This window comes from Homo sapiens, chromosome 1 (genome assembly GCF_000001405.40).
Source record: "Homo sapiens chromosome 1, GRCh38.p14 Primary Assembly".
In the NCBI taxonomy this organism is placed as follows: Eukaryota; Metazoa; Chordata; class Mammalia; order Primates; family Hominidae; genus Homo; species Homo sapiens.
This window is the reverse complement of record NC_000001.11, coordinates 50,248,466-50,265,310: the sequence shown is the minus strand read 5'-3', so window position 1 is coordinate 50,265,310 and position 16,845 is coordinate 50,248,466. Positions and strand designations below refer to the sequence as shown.

General features: G+C 45.0%; 2 long non-coding RNA genes across 2 annotated transcripts in view; one reads left to right on the top strand and one right to left on the bottom strand.

Annotated features, from left to right (window-relative positions):
• Positions 1-6,554: 6,554 nt before the first annotated feature.
• LOC105378711 (uncharacterized) overlaps positions 6,555-16,845 on the top strand; it is a 52,673-nt gene continuing 42,382 nt past the window's right edge. Inside the window, exons 1-4 of the long non-coding RNA XR_947315.4 lie at positions 6,555-7,283; positions 11,344-11,474; positions 15,069-15,183; positions 15,318-15,607. This is a non-coding gene — a long non-coding RNA (uncharacterized LOC105378711). The remainder of the gene's footprint in view (positions 7,284-11,343; positions 11,475-15,068; positions 15,184-15,317; positions 15,608-16,845) is intronic.
• Positions 7,109-7,671, bottom strand: LOC105378710 (uncharacterized). The gene is made up of 2 exons (XR_947314.1): positions 7,625-7,671; positions 7,109-7,390 (listed from the first exon to the last, which is right to left on the bottom strand). It is a non-coding gene; the product is annotated as an uncharacterized LOC105378710 (long non-coding RNA).

Sequence of the window (16,845 nt, the reverse complement as noted above, 5' to 3'; positions counted from 1 at the left end):
TGGATTGCAGGAGACAGTGGCAACCCAAGGCAAGTAATAAAAAGGCTAGAGAGTTGGTGGGGCCTGAGTAGGGGGCAGTGGGAATAGGGATCAAGAGACAGAGAGGTGGAGGGACGGATGGAATGGAATCTTTTTTTTTTTTTTGAGACAATGTCTCACTCTGTCACCCAGGCTGGAGTGCCGTGATTGCATCACAGCACTGCAGCCTTGATCTCCTGGGCTAAAGCAATCCTCCCACTTCAGCCTCCTGAACAGCTGGGACTTCAGGCACATGCCACCATGCCCATATGATAATTTTAATTTTTTTTTTCATTAGAGATGGAGTCTTGCTATGTTGCCCTGGCTGGTTTCAAACTCCTGAGCTCAAGCAATCCTCCTACCTCAGCCTCCCAAAGTGTTGGGATTACAGACGTGAGCCACCACATCCAGACTGGAATAGAATCTTATTAGACTAATGACCTTCTAGTGCATGATGACTGGATGGTGGGTGGAGGAAGGAAGAGGAAGAAGCTGGCTTGGCCCAGGCCTTTGTGACTTGGCCCAGGTGGCCACTACAGACAGCTGTCTGTGTACAGTGTACAGAGGGCAATGTTCTTGAATTGCTGTTCAAACCCAGACTGTTTGCTTGTCATCTGTACTAGTCAGGTTCTCCAGTGAATCCAGAACCAGTGAAATACACATGCACACATATACACACACAAAATAAGGAGTCATCATGCAGTTATGGAAACTGAGAAGTCCCATGATCTGTCTCTGCAAACTGAAGACTCAAGAATGCCAGTGGTGTGATTCTGGTCCAAGCCCAAAGGCCTGAGAATGAGGGGAGCCATTATGTATATCTCAGTCCAAAGGCAGGAGATGACTGATGTCCTAGCACAGATATGCAGGCAGGAAGGGGATGAATCTTCCCTTTTTCTGCTTTTCATTCTATTTAGGCTCTCAGTGGATCGGATGAGGCCCACCCACATTGATGAGAGCAGTCTACTTCACTGAGTCTAATGATGCAAATGCTAATCTCACCCAAAAACATTCTCACAGAAATGCCTAGAAATAATATTTAATCTGGGCACCTTTGGCCCAGTCAAGCTGATATATAAAATTAACCATCATACCATCTATAAGGCAAAAACTTTTCTGTGCCAGGCTCTGTGCTGGGCGTTGGGCATGCAGTGATGATTCAGAACCAGACTTTGTCTTCCAAGTTGGGAGACAGGCACATAGCAGTGATGACAACATGGTGTGCTGCGGCTGAGACAGAGAAGTTTCAGGATCCCAGAAAGGGAACCTAAAGGAGGGCAGGGAGGCTTCCTGGAACAGGTGACTCCTGAACCAGTTCTTGAAGCCCAATAGGAGTTAGCTGGGTGATTGAGGGAGAATATAATATTCTGAGGACAGAAAAGAAGTTGTGAAAGAGAATGGTATGATCAGCAGGAGGTATATAGGTGGAGCCAGGTGTGGGGAGAGGGAGACAGGTGGGGCTGGGCTTTCCTGGCCTGGTTCTTTGTGTACTCTATTCTTTCAACTTAAGATGTTTTTCTCTTTGGCTCACATTACACTACCCTTTAAGGTCTACTTTAAATTCAAACTTCTCGAAGCCTTCCGTAATCCTCTCCCTTGCCAAAAATAATTTATTGAGGACCTACTAAGTGCTCTTTATATCTTTCATTTTATTAATTCATTAAGGCATCCCTGTGAGGTCAGCTGTTCAGTTCAGCTCAGCATACCTCTGGTCCCTGCTATGTGCCATGCCCTAAAAATATGGAGATAAATCAGATATTATAGCTCACATTCTAGTGGAGAAGACACACCTATTAACAGATATTTTTAATACAAATAATATTGGGTGCTATTATCTCAATTTTGCAAAGGAGAAACTCGGACATTTACTGGTTAACCGATTTTGCTCAGGGTCATATGAGTAGTAAGTGGAACCCTGCTCTAGGTAGAGTTGAGGTCAGTGCTCTGACCTCTGCTCCAGTCAACTCCCATGGCACTTATCATGATCTGTCTGGGAAGGATGTATAAATAAGGAGATGCTGATATTTGACTTACCCTGGGACTTGGTTTTGAGCTCAGTGAAAGCAGGATCCAGTATTGTGAAGTGGTTCTGCAGAGACAGAGCTTGAGAAGAGGGTGGGACTAACATTTAGAAAGTGTCTACCACGTGTCCGCCTGTTCTGTTGCCAGTCCCACTTCCCACCTTTGTGCCCCTTCCTCTAAATAGCTTCCCACATCCTCCTACTATCATCTGCCCTGGCTCTTTTCTCTTCTCTTGGTCATTGCCTGTTAACTTGTTTGTCTTCCCCACTTGATCAGGTTGGAATCTTCAGAGCCCATCATAGTGTGTGGACTGTAGTCAGAGTTCAGTAATCCTGAATTGGATTGACAGAATTCTTACTGGCCATGCTCTGACAGAGAGTCGGCTTGTGTCTCTGCCAGTACCTGTGGGTGTTGAGTCTGTGGGTTATCTGTGTGGGCTCACCACAGTTTGCATGGTGTGTGTAGCTCCTGTTTGGGCCTTGCATTGACTTCCTGCGTGTTCCCTATAAGGGTATTCCCACCCCCTTCTGAGCCCTATGCCTCCTCCCCTCATTAGTATCTTACCCTGACCAGCCCTAAATGTCCCTCTCTGTCAGAAATATATTTCAGGGTAACTTGTGTCTCCTAGCCATGATTAAAAACTTCTGAACACCCTTGGGTGTGGAGCCTGGTCTCTTGGTGCATATCAAGTGCCTGCATTTGCCAGCTGAGCTCCCCAGCTCTGTATCTGCTGACAATGAGATCAGGCCCAGCTTGGTTTTAAAGGTGAGTGGGCAGTAAATGATAAAACTACACTCAACCTCTTGCACAGTCCACAGCTCTGAAAGCACTCCAGCAGGTTTACAACTTCTCTAAGGGGCTGAACTTTTGCGGGGAGGGTTGGAAAGGTATGGATTTAGAAATTGTTGTCTTCAGACGGTTTGTGTTTCTGGGTGTTTAAGAAAGTCTCCCCCCGCACCCCAAGCTGATCGTTGTGTTTTAATGACGCAAAATCATGAATATTAAACCAATGGAAAGTTGACAGTATTTAAATGAGCATCATTAAGAGACACATAAATTAACAGGGTTTTTAGTTCTTGTGGAACTGCCGTTTCAATGTTAATTAAACAACCGGAGTGCTCGGGCGCTTTTGCAGCAAACTGTCCCCAAAGTGTGCTGCAGAATATCATTATGGGTGGCTGCCTTGCTGTTTAATTATTTCCAAGTTGATTTTTTTTCCATTGCTGAAGTAGTTTTATGCTTGTCTTGCATTTGGAAAAGGTGATGGAGCTGAACCTCTAAGGAAACTGTCAGTGTGATCTCTGTTGGCCCTATGGTGAAGACCTGAGCTGAGCAATGCTTGTCCCTTCATGCCAGCCTTCTGTGAAGGAAGCCCAGGTGCCCCTTTGGATCTCCTGATGGGCTGGTCCCTGACTATTAACCCGGGGTGTCTAGGAGGTACCTGGCTCCTTAGTTGCTGACCATCTTACTCTTAGAAAGTTGGGGGTCTGAATTTGGATGGAGCCCTTAGATGCAGAAGGAAAGGCAGAGAGTGTCAGATTAGGGGAAGGGGTAGCAAAGGCTTCCATGATTATACTTGAGGCAGTGTGGAGTGGAGGAGCCAGGAGCCCTGGGATCTGCTCTTGATTCTATTTGGTCTGAGTTAAGTGACCTTGAGGCATTCCCTCCACCTCTCTGGCATCAGTCTCTTCAACTATAAAATGACAGGGCTAGATTAGATCATGCATTCTCAAAGCAGGTGATGTTGCCCTCAAGAGGGTAAAAAGTGGTTCTTGGGAGGGTGGAAAGAGTGTACTCTTATTTTAATGTGTAAAACAATAAATGTGTATTACATAAACAGGTACATAGTATATTTGTGGTGTTAAGAAAAGACTGAGAAATACTGGACTGGATGAACTCTAGGAGCTTCATCTTTAAAGAAAAGAAAGTCTCCTGTGAGATGGATCCCCAGATGGTCACATTCCCTGGAATATGGAAATGGTCTTTATCGTTACCTGTGTGAACTTGACTGGGCTCTTATCTCCTGGGCCTCAAGGGCCTAGTGTGTCAAATGAGGCCATTCATCTCTTACCAGTCCAAAGGTGCGGGGCTGGACTAAAGGAACTTTAGAAGTCAGTGAAGCAGCCTGGTGGAGAAGGATGCAGTCCTGGGTCCCAGTGTGTGGCTTTTGAAACCAGCCTGCTGGCACCAAAGCTTGGCTCTAGCACTTAAAAGCTGTGTAAACTTGGGTGAGTTCTCAACTCCTTTAGCAAAATGGGATTGTGCACAGTACTTCATGGGGTTGTTGTGATGATTAAGGCAGTCAACATAAAGAAAGAATTTCATGGGGTCTGACATACAGTAAGGGCTCACCAAGTGTTGATTATACACATCATTGTTAATATTAGTTTGTTTTATTGTTATTACTGAGTGGCCTTGACTGAGTTGCTGAACCCCTCTGGGTCTGGGTTTCATGGTTCACAGCTGAGACATGTTTCATGGCTTCATTGTATTTTTGCACACACTTTTTTTCTCTGCTAGAATGCCCTTGTGCCTGTGTCTGCTGGCCAAATTTCCACTCATCCCTGAAGTACCCTCTCAGCAATCATCTCCCTGGGAAGATTCCTTAAATAGGCTTAGGTGTTCTTCTCTGGGCTCACATGTGATATACCTCTGCCCCCTTCTTCATTTCTGCTGTTTATTTTTGTGTTGCTTTCCTGCACCCTTCTCTCCTTCACCTCCCCCAAGTTTTTGCTCAGATGTCACTTTCTCCATGAGGCCTTCTTTGACCACCCAATCTAAAGCTACCACCCAAGACATTGCTTATTGCTTCCCTTGTTTTTCTTCTTACACATTTTATGTTCAGCCCCTCACCAGAATGCAAACTCTCGGAGGGCATAGATTTAGGTCTGTTTCAGTTACTGTTGCAACCCCAGAATCTAGAAGAGCGCCACACATAAGAGACAATATTTATTGAACAGATAAATGAATGAAGTGGGCTTCCCCCTTACAGCATTCCATGCTGAATGTTGGAAATATTTGTAAGACCAGTTTGCTACTAGATGGTGCTATGATTGAGGGACCCAAGACCAGCTGAATCCCATTATGGTGAAGCCTCCTTTTCTTCCCTTTCTCCTGTCAATGTTTCTAAGGATATTACTGCACAGGGTGGGGACTAGCAAATCAACTGGAGCGCGCAGACATGCTTTACTCTAAACTGAGGTTTTCATTCCAATGCCTAGCACCAAGAACCCCAGGGAGCTGAGCTGGGCTGCTGGGCATGCGCCTTTCCCCTAGCTCATTAGGATTGCACTTCCCCACACCACAGCAGGCCACCAATGCCCAAATGTATGTCTCATATCTTACCACTGTGATTCAAGGAAATATTAACCCAATGCCCAGAAAAGTGGAGGGAGTGAGTAAGAGAGAGTGGGGCTTACCCCTATGCCCAGTGCCGAGCTGACCCAGTTGCAATGGGTGGATGGGGTAGAGAGGCCCTCCAAGGAGAGATGCTTGGACAAACAGCTTCTCTTTTAGGATATTTTAATATACATTTATCCATGATATATCCCCCAGGGTGGGTTTGTTTAACACCATAGGGCAAGATTCCGAATACAATGTTAAATGGAAAAAAAAGAAAACTATTATCATCTATCTATATCTATCATCTATCTATCTATCTATCTATCTATCTATCTATCTATCTATCTATCTATCTATCATCGCTATGTATGTATGTATGTATGTATGTATGTATGTATGTATGTATATACTGGAATGAAGTCCAGTCAAATGCTTCTGAGAGCTCTAAATATCCATCAGGTTGTACATTAAAGCACCTGTGGTAGGGGCCCAACAGGAGCTTGGGCAACAGAAAACAGCCTGGAATTGGGGTGTCAATATCAGGCCTAAGCTGATGGAGTAGGGCCTTTAACCTCTGTAGAAGGGTGATCACCTGGGGTGAGGACACAATGTGAAAAGAGCACAGTATTGGTTTTTTCCAGAAAGGGTGAAAGCCTAGGTCTGGAGATGAACTGGGGTTTCTCTCCTTTGTTCTTAAATTTCTGGCTGGGCCCAGGTTTGCTCACTGGGCATCCCAAGGTAAAAGAGCTTCCTGCTAGGGGTGCAACTTTCAAAAGCCCTTTTATAGAAATTAATATTTATTTAATCCAGAGAAGCCTTTAAAACTCAGGACTCCAAAGACAAAAACATAAAGGAAAAATTAATAAAGCTATAAAATTTTTAGACATAATACTTATCAAGTTATTGGAATTACTTGTTTAATATATTTTCTCCATCAGACTGTAAGCCCCATGGGAACAAGTACTGTGTATATCTTTTTCATTGTTATTTGACTGGTCTCTGGCACATATGAGGTGCTCAATAAATAATAATGATAATGTGTAAACAATAGGGAATCATCATGCTTCCAGTATTTGTTATGGTTATAGAAAATAACAACAATAACAAAAACTTTCTTTGGAATGTTTTCCATTCTTTCCTCCTTGCATATGCCAGGATTAATGGAAGAAAGTTTATACACCTTGAAGCATATTGGGAAAATTGCCACAGCACTTTGCAAATTCTCCCATCATGAGGTGGAGTGCATTTCAGGCTGGCTTTGTGACTTGCTTTGGCCAATAATATAAATGACACTGGGTGAGTTATAAGCCTAGTTCAAGAGGCATTGCAGCTACATCTCTTGCTCTTCTTGGAATACTGAGACTACCATCATGTGCTCAAGCCCAGACTACCCTCCTAGATGATAAAAAACACATGGCTCAGTTGATACCCATAACCACAGAGTTGATAGCCAGCCTATCTCCAAAGCAGAGCTTCCCAACTGACTCAAAACTATACACAAAGTGAATGAGCCCAGCCAAGATCAGCAGTGGAACTGCCTGCCTGAAGATAGCCCAAATACAAACCTACAGAATCATGACCTCTGTAAATGGGTGTGTTAAGCCACTGAGTTTTGGATGGTTTGTACACAGCCATAGATAACCAGTAAAGATATTCAGAGGTAATTAGAAGGTGTTTCATCCTATGCCCTGTCAATAGAAACACAAGTAAAATAACCAAACAAAGCTCATTGGGAAATGTGTAATGAAAGTCATAATGCAGGAACAACATTTTCAAGAGGAACTACATTAAGCAAGTATTTTCACAGCAGGTAGCTGTCCAAGGGAGAGATTGCTGAAGCTTGGTGGCGGTGATGGTTGTGCATTGGCAGTGAAGGTCCAGAAGTTTCTCCAGTTCTTAAGGTACCGTTACCACACCTCTTCTTCCTAGACCTCAAACAGGCTTTGCTCACTTATTCCTGTCATCTCAGTGCCACTGCAACTCTCATGCCAAAAAGGGTCCCCAATACCTATAGAAAAATATTCAAATTTCCTCTCTATGATTTGACCTCAAAAGACTTTCTCATTCCTTTTCACATCCTACCACCATCCCACATACACTATGCCATCCAGACCAATCCCCCTGGTCTAAACACACTGTTTTTTTACCCCCTGTGTCTTCATATATTTTCTCTCTACTTGGACCCCTCCTTCACTTGACACACCCACCCTTAGCCATCAGGGCACACTTATACAAATTTTACCTTCTTTGTGAAACCTTCACTGAGCTCTCTCAGCTCCCAGATTGTAACTATGGCAACATGTCTCATTATGAGCTAAACTTCTCTCCTCTCCTTGTCTCCTTGCCTCCTCTCCTAAACTTTTCTCCTCTCTACTTGGAAACAGAGTCCCCATCTAGTTCCTATTTCCGGGACAAATTCCCAGCGCATGACCTGTAATACAGTAGGAACTCAAAACTATTCTTTGAATAAATAAATGAATGAAAGCCAATATTTGAACAGGGTTTTGCAGCTTACAGAATATTTTTGCATCCATTGTTTCATATCAGATATTTTCATTAGCCCCATTTTCCAAATGAGAAAACTGAGGTTCAGAGTGGTTAAATAAGTTGTCTGAGGTTTCTCAGTGAGTAATTAGGAGGAGACCGGAATCAAGGCTTTTAAATTCCAAAGCCCATAATGTGTAAAACTTGTGTGGCTATTCACTCATGTATTCATTGCACAAATATTTATTTTGTGACCACTCTGTTCCATGCCTGCTCACAATTCCCCACCTCTCCCCAGTGCTGCAAATCCTGCCAGGATCACTCTTTCTACACTTATCTTCCTGCTTTGCCTTCACATTTGTTCCCCATGGGAAGTCTTCATTGAACCCAGGCTAAGTTAGGTACCTTATCTCTATTCCCGTAAACTTCTAGATTTGCCTGTCACATTTCTGTCTTCTCCAGTGGTCTATGAGCAGTTTTAAGGCTTTGTGGGACCCCTCTACAATTCCTATACAACAGCAAGGTCTTGTCTGGTTGCAGTAGAGTGAGGGGCCATGTGAAAGATGAGGCTTGGGGGTAGTCAGCAGAGGGCAGAGGATGAAGGGACTTCTTAATCATGTGAAGGGACTTGTACTTTATCCTCAAGGCAGTCAGGAACCAGGGAAGAGTTTTAAGCAGGTGAAATGCCATCATTTAAGGTATAGAGGAAGTGGAACTCTTAAACAAAACTGAGAAGAGATAGCCAGTGAGGCTGGGGAGACCAGCACACCTAGGAACATTCTAGCAGAAAATGTTGGTGCTCCACAGAAGTCCCCACACCTCACTTAATATGCTTTCAAAAGCACTCCTGGCTCTTCTTTGGTGAATGGCTCTTAGGCTACTGGGAATTAGCATTAGCCCATTAGTACAGACAGCTAGAGGTGTCTGGGAGTTTACAACAATTGTTGGATGTTGGAAGGGGGAGAGTGAAAGCCCAGCTCCCTTGCCTTGAGTTGGGATGATGTATATTTCAGACTTCCCCTTCAGGATCAGGCTCAAATCTACCCTCTGCAGGACTTTTGCCTGAGAACACAGCCTTATTTGGCTCCTTCTCCTTCCTGTCCTGCTTTCTTTACTCCCTCACTGGTTTCTCCTAGAAACATTTCCTTAAATAAATCACTTGCATATGTATCTCCATGTCAAGGTCTGCTCTGAAGAAGCCAACCTATGACCCATATGTGGGTATAGACATTGACATATAAATGTGAATACAAACTGTATATGTGGGTACAGACATTGACATATAAGCGGGAATGCAAACTGTGTTCATGCCCCAGTGCAGGAGCTCAGAAACATGTTCTGTCCCTTCTTCCTGTTCTTGGGCTGTGAACAGACACAGAAGACCATGAATCCTACCTCCTAGGACCACAGTAAGAACTGGCCAGTCCCATGAAGCTGAGCTGAACTTGTTCTGCCTCCATCCATGAGTGATTTGTTGTAATTCTCTTCATCTTTAGAGCATTTTACATCAGTTCTCTCAGTGGGCCTCCAAAACATCCTACAATAAAGGCAGGGAAGATATCAGCTTCATTTACTAGATGAAGAAACTGAAGCTCTGAATGGCTGTGTGACTTACCTGAGGCCACACACCTACCCTGGTTTCTTGATGTCATCATCTGATTTTCTCTACCATGCTGCTCCTCTGTGAGCTACTGGATCTATAAATAAACATGGGGAAAATGTTCATAGCTTTGTACTACAAGATGAAGATGAGTAGTACAAGTGAGTAAATGGATCCCTGTATAGAAATTCAGTGCAACCAACAAGAGACAAAGGCGGCTGGGAGTTAGTGTCAGGGCTACACAGAGTGCCTATATGGTAGACAGAAAATAATAGGAGGTACTGAGGTTGAAGAAAATGATGTGTTCCCCAGGATCTTGTCCAGAGGAAGTACAAGAGTGTCCCTCAAAGCACACATTGCATCCAGTGCAGAGTGCTGGGGAAAATTGGAAAATTGCAAAGGGAATGAAGCCACGTGCTCAAGGTGATGATACAAAAAAAGGACATTGAAATGAAGCTACTCATGCCCTTCTGGACAGTTTTGGCATCACCTTCTCTGGAAGGTGTTCCCTGGCACATCCACCACCCCCAGCCCCAGACTGCAAAGGAGGCACTGTCCTGTGTTCTTCTTTCCTGTTTCCCTCTGTCATAACTCTTAATAGTTGATAGAATAATTTCAATTTAATGTTTCCCAGAGAAGACTATGGAATACTTGAGCAGAGACTAGATCTAAGTCGTTCATGAATCCCACTGCCATGATCACAAACTGAGCCATGATCCTGACTACAGTTTAGCCTGGTCTTGGCCAAAGACTGGTCCTGGACCTCAGGTCTTAAGTGCCCTGGTCTTGGCCACAGACTGAGTGATCCTGGCCTCAGCCTGAGCTCTGATTCTGGCCACAGACTGAACCCTAAACCTGATCATTCTCTGAACCTCAATCTTGGTCACAGCCTGAGCCCTGATCTTGGTCCATGCTGAGGACTGATCCTGGCTATAGATTGAGTCATAAACCTGGCCCTGACCTAGTCATAGACTAAATCTGGACCCATCTAATATGCTCATCATCTCACAAGGGGCCCAGTGCGCCACTCTCTTGATATTTAAACAACCTGTTGCTCACATGTTTCTTGTCTCAGTCTCACATGTATTAGACCTTAAGCACTCCCAGGACACATCTTCCTCCACAGGCTGGCATACTGTGGGGCCTCTACAGGCTGCTGACAAGGGCTGGCTTGCTGAGTGACCACACTCTGATGAGGATGTGTTCACAGTGGCTGCAGTAAGGTAGAAACAGGAACCACTAAGGTCCGATCACAGAAGATCTTCGTGACTGCCTCTATCCTGACCATCTCTGTGATCAAAGCACATTTGAGAAAAAATTTGCCTTTTTACCTGCAACACAACAGAATTCCAGGTAACAGAATCTGCTTTTCCTTAATTAAGAGTCTGCCAGAAGTGGGAGAACAGTCGGGAACTTGAGGACAAAGAACATGAGAAGGAGAACTTTTGCCTTCCCAGGCAGAAAATTAATTATAAAATCAGATTGTGTTACCAGAATTGTTTGTATCTGTGTTTTAAGGAATTTGCCATCTTCTGAATCTAATGGATGGAGCAGTCAGAGCTTGACTGCTACAACAGTTTTTAATTTGTTTGGAAATTAGTCCAAATAATGAAGAAATGCTTTTCAATACAACATGAAGGCAATACAATTGGCACATCTCCTTTTAAACAACAACAACACAGTTCTCAACATTGAATAATTAAAGAAAAGCATCTGTCAGAAACAGGTTGTCAACCTCTGGTTTGGAGGAATGCTACTTCTAAGGGTATATTAATACCTATCAAAACTCCATACTTGAGTACTTTCTTTGTCTGTATCATTTTTGCCCTTCAAAATAGACCTGAGAATGTGGTAGGTAACCTTGTCTTCCATTTCAGAGAGAGGAATCCCTGGCTCAAGAGAATGGAGTCACTTGCCCAGGGTCATCCAACTGAGCTGGTGCCCTTTGCACTCCCCAAGCTGCTTCTCTCTGGGTTTGGTAAAGGTTTTTTGTCTTTACGAGAAACAGGTAAGTGGTTTTTTGTTTCAACTTGTGAGTTTTTTTAAATGGGTAAACCAGTTTGAAGTGTTAATGATGACTGATGATGTAGACAAAGTCCACACATTACAACCGCATAGCCCATTTTTCACGTAGAACTGCACACCTGCCCCAGTTTGACCAGCACCCACCCACTGTGTGGTCTTGTACATGTTGCCTTTCCTCTCTGAGCCTCCATTCTTCCTCAGTAAGTGGGGGTAATGTCTACCTCACTGATTTGTATGAAAAGTAAAGATTATGTTGGTATGTTAATGAGTAATTGTGAATTAGTTAGTGGTTGTGAGTGTTAAACCCTGGACAAAACCACAGTGGTATTATGGCACCTAGAACAATGCTGGGTGTCTGGTAAGTCCCTGAGCTGTGTTTTGTGAGCTTGCTCCATGCCCATCCTCAGGGTGAGACGTAGTCCTCAGGATACAGGAGCCACAGAACGACATTCCTCAATGGGCGACTGAGCTTTGAGAGATAGCTTCTCAAACTCACCACCCAAGAAAAGAGAGTCTTTTCTTGATCCCCCGCTCCAAGAATTTTCCCACTGGAAAGTGGATTGGGGAATGGCCTGGTGGGCAGGGTTCCTTGCTGAAGTTAGTTTTAATTTGTTTTATAGTCCTTAGAGGTGGACTAGATTTTAGAAAATGAAGAGCAAGGGGAAGGGCTTCTAGGGAGAAGCTGCACCAGAGGAAAGATGCAGAGGTGCAGAGGTGCAGGGAGTTGGGAAGGCAAGGCTGGGGAGGTGGGTGGGAACAATGTCAGTCTAAGGAAGCGGATTTGTTCTTCTGACAATTGGGAGCCATTGAAGTTTGGGGGAGGGAAGTAGCATTTACTGATTTTCTGTTAGGTGCTTTACATATGGCAGCCATTTAACCCTGTGAAGGTAGGTATCATCATGCCCATTGTACAGACTGAGAAGCTGAAATTTAAAAAAAGAAGTAAATGGCTATAGTCACACAGCTAGGAAGGGTGAGCACCAGGATTTGAGGTCAGTTCTAATGAATTCCAAAGCCTTGTTCTTTCCAGCACAACTTGCTACCTCCCAGTGCAAAATAGTGTATGCATGCTCGAGTGGGAAATTGTAGGTCACATACCTGGGAGTGGGGGCCATGGCGGGTTGTGCAGAAGGGGAGACCAGAACTACCAGCTTCTAATTTCCTCTGTTCTTCCCAACAGGAGGCTCAGAGGCCTCCAATACTAGGAGTGCAAGGCAGTATCCTCCCTTCCTTCTTTTCTCTCATCTTCTCACTCCTGCTGCTGTACTGGCTTCCTTCCCCCTCCCCATTATCCAGCCTTTTATCGCTTTCCAAGATGTCTAGGGACAGCCTTCAGTGGCTGGCTCTGTCCTGATAAATAATTTGCATGCACAACACACAGCTGAGTAATGGTGGAGCTGGGCTGGGATCCAGGAAGTTAGAGCTTTTTGCATCGTACTGTTCTTGTGCCAAACATTGTGCCCAGCACATAGTAAGTGCTCAATGAATAGTAACTCTTTTGCTGCAGGAGCTAATGTCCATCATACTGGAGGTTTAGATTTTTAGAGCCTGAAGATGCATTTGCCCACACTTCCCTTTGGAAGCAGCTCTTGTCACTGGTCAGATTTCAGCCTTTTCCAGAAGTAGGAGGACTAAGGTTTCCCAGTGTCTGCAGCTTAGGCTGGGGAGGCTGCAGCCAAAGGGTCTGGCCCCCATAGAAAGAGGTGGTCCAGCCTCAGCTCCAGCAGCCTCTCCAAAGAGTGAGGCCCTGGCTGCTTTGCATGCAGGATGAAGGCTCCTCTGGTCAATTTGCTTTCACTAATGTCAGGCCCCCGCGGCGCTGTCGTTGGTTGCATAGCAACCGGCCGAGCAGCGCGGCAGAGGTGGCCATGCATAAAAGATGACACATGATGGTGGGGCACGGGGTGACGATTTGCAAATTTAGATACAGTCGCAGCAGGAATATGAACTGGGCACTCGACAGGCATGGGGGTGGGTGGCTCTCTTTTTCTCCTCCCATCTCATTCAGAAAGCCAGGTTCCCACTGTATTTACAGGGGTCTGGGGAAAGGAAGCAGAAGTGGGGAAGTACGGCTTGACTTCAATCCCCAGAAAGCCAGGGGCTGGGCTGAAGGGGAAAAGGGGAAGTAAACAGCATGGGCAGCATGGACAAACAGAGGCCTCAGTGTGCCCTGAGGACCCCTCCCACAGATTCCTCCAATCTTGTGGAAGGCTGATGAAAGCAACTGGTCTGAACACCCCTCCTCTGCCAGTGGGTCTTCTCTTTGCCTCTCCTGACAGCTGCAGGGAGAAGATACGTGCTGGACTTGGCGTCTTCAGGCCTGGGTTCAAGTCCTAGTTCTGCCATTTCCTGATATTGGGTACTGCAGCAGGTGACTTTAAATCACATTCAATTCAATCTAACTGATACCAATTAAGCACCTACTATGAGCCAGGCGCTGACCTAGGGGCTGGGGACACGACCTTATAAAATACAGTACCTGTCCTTGAGGAGCCCTCAGTGTTGCGGGAAAAACAGATATTCAAATGATGAGATTATACTTTAATGCACTGAATGCAAAAATAGCAGACTAGGGAGGGGGCAACTTCTGCTCTGAGTTTTAAAGGTAATATAGGGACTGGCTAGGAAGGCAAGGAATGGAGGGAAGTGTCCCAGGCAAAGGAAACAACATAGACAAAGGCACATGGGTGAGAACCAGAATGTATTCTCAGTAGGAGGTGAAGGGAATTTAAAGGTGTTGATGTGGCCAGAGAGTAAAATTTAGTGCCTCAGGCTCAATGAGGACATGCCTGGGAATCTCCTAAGGTCCTCATAGATGCTTGGTTTATCCTTCTGCCCACCTGCCACCCTCACCATCTAAAGAAGTAGTAAACCATTCAGTAATCAATGGCCACCTTGAAGGATTTGGAAATCTGTCCAACCCAAACTCCTTATTTTAGAGAGGAGGAAGAATACCCAGAGAAGAGGGTGAGCTGTCAGAGGCCTCTCATTTACCTAGGTGGGGACAGAGGAAGGAGAAGAGGAGATAGCAGTGAGTAGGGCAGTAGGGTACCTGTCAATATGGATTCTGAGATTCTCATATGATGGGAACACAGTGATTTCATGAATAGAGACAGTTTCCTTCAGGAAGAGTTGATCTGGGGAACAACTCTAGTGCAAATACCATCTTCAAATGTAAACTCTCTGAGGGCAGGGACATTTTTCCCTCTTTGACAGCAACAGCCGTAGGTCCTTGCTGAATAGGTCCTTGCTATTCAGGTTCTTGCTGAATTAATTGCTCAGGGCCTTGACACCATATGTATACATATATATATATATATATATATATGTATGACTATAATATATATATACACACACACACATATATATATACACACACACATACATATATATACACACACACATACATATTTGAGACAGGATCTCACTTTGTCACTGGCTGGAGTTAAGAGGTGTGGTCATGGCTCACTGCAGACCCAAACTCCTGGGCTCAAGCAATCTTCCTGTCTCAGCTTCCTGAGTAGATAGGACTGCAGATGCACACCACTACACCCAGCTAATTTTAAACTTTTTGTAGAGATGGAGCCTCACTGTTGTCAAGGCTGGTCTCAAACTCCTGGTCTCAAGCGATCCTCCCACCTTGGCTTCCCAAGACACCAGTTCTTTTATTTCATCCTCCCCAAATCTCTGAGGTAGGTATTGTATCTCCATTTTTTTCAGATGAGAGAACAGCTCAGAGAGGAGCTGGAACTTGCCCAAATCACACTCAGCCTCAGATCTTACCCCATTTTCTGATTCATGATGCCATGTCCTTGTCCTTCCACAGCTCGGACTTCTATTCTGGGGTGAATTTGGGGTAATCGTGACAATGACAACAGACAAAATTACTGATGCTGGGAGCAGCAAGTTGGGTTTGGAGGTCATTGCTAAGCTGTAAAAGAAGTGATTTGACTATAAACTTTGGCTGGGCCTCCCTGAACGGGATCACATACCACAATGGAACCTCTGACAGGAAAGGTGGCTTCCCTCATGCCCCATCGTACTTTTTCATCATTCTTTAGAACCATGGAGGAGTTCAAATACCAGCTCAGACACTTCCTTGCTAGATGACCTCAGGTAATTCATTTTGCCTCTATTTCTTAGTTTCCTTTGTAGTAAAATAAGGACACTACTAGCATCCACCTTATGGACTTGTTGTGAAAAGTAAATAAATTCATATATGTGAAGTCTTAGAACACTGCCTGACATACAGTAAGTGCTTAATAAAAGTTTGACATTATACCGAAAACATAATAATAATTATTGGAGCAGAGAGGAGAAACGCAATTCAGCTTAGGATAGGAGTTGGAAGATGGAGGATGGAAAAAGGCCTCCTAAATGATCTGATAAGATGAGTTGAGTCTAGAAAGACCTAGAAGTTAGCCAGTCTAAGAAGTAGAGAGGAAGGGTGTTCCAGACTGGGGGAACAGTGGTTGCTAAACCTCAGAGGCTCCAACCCTTTATTTGGAAACTGAGATGCAGAGACGGTAACTCACCTGTTGAAGATCATGCGGCAAGCATTAGCAGAGCCAGGCTGGCCTCCAGGCCTCAGGCTTAAGGGGAGAGATCTGGATACCCCAGGGGAGCGAGGTCTGCGGATGAACATGGCCTCATGCCCTCTCTGCTGGGCTTATGTCTAAAGGGTCCAAGGCTGGGAAGGTAGACAGGTGAGGCAGACCTTCTCCAATGTCCAGGGGACCAGTGGGGAAGCCAGATCCTTCCTGACTTTTGAGCTTCCAACTGGAGAAAGGGGACCAGCGACCCTCACGTGGGCTGGTGGGCTGGTGCCTTGAGCCTCTGGAAGCTGAGGGGCTCACTGGGCTGCTGAGAAAACTAGTAAAGCCCCAGATCCTGGTGAGGACATGTGATCTGCATTATTGATAGATCTGGAATCTGTGTGGTAGCACATGCCTAGCCTGTGTAAGGAGACCAGAAGAGGCAAATGCCTCCACAGTTCACATCCTCTAGTGTGGGGCCCGTGTATTTCCAATGGCCTTTCCAACCTTTATGTGCTGTGGCATCTGTGAGGGGCTGGCTGAGAATCATTACTCCTTTCCTGAGAAGGCCCATGGAGGGTCCCTGGGTGAGGCCTTGACTGACATGAGCCCGAGAATTTTGGTTCTGACATCTGAAGACAAGACAGATTCTCTCTTAAGATGTGCTCTGGTTGCTCTTGGGAGGTATGAATCATGGTGGCCATGGGGCCTAGTAGCTTCTTGGGGACAATTGCTACAGTCTAGAGAAATGCCTGAAGATTCAAATCCCTGATCTACTGCCTCCTGGGTGTCTGACCTTGGCCAAGTTACTTAATCTCC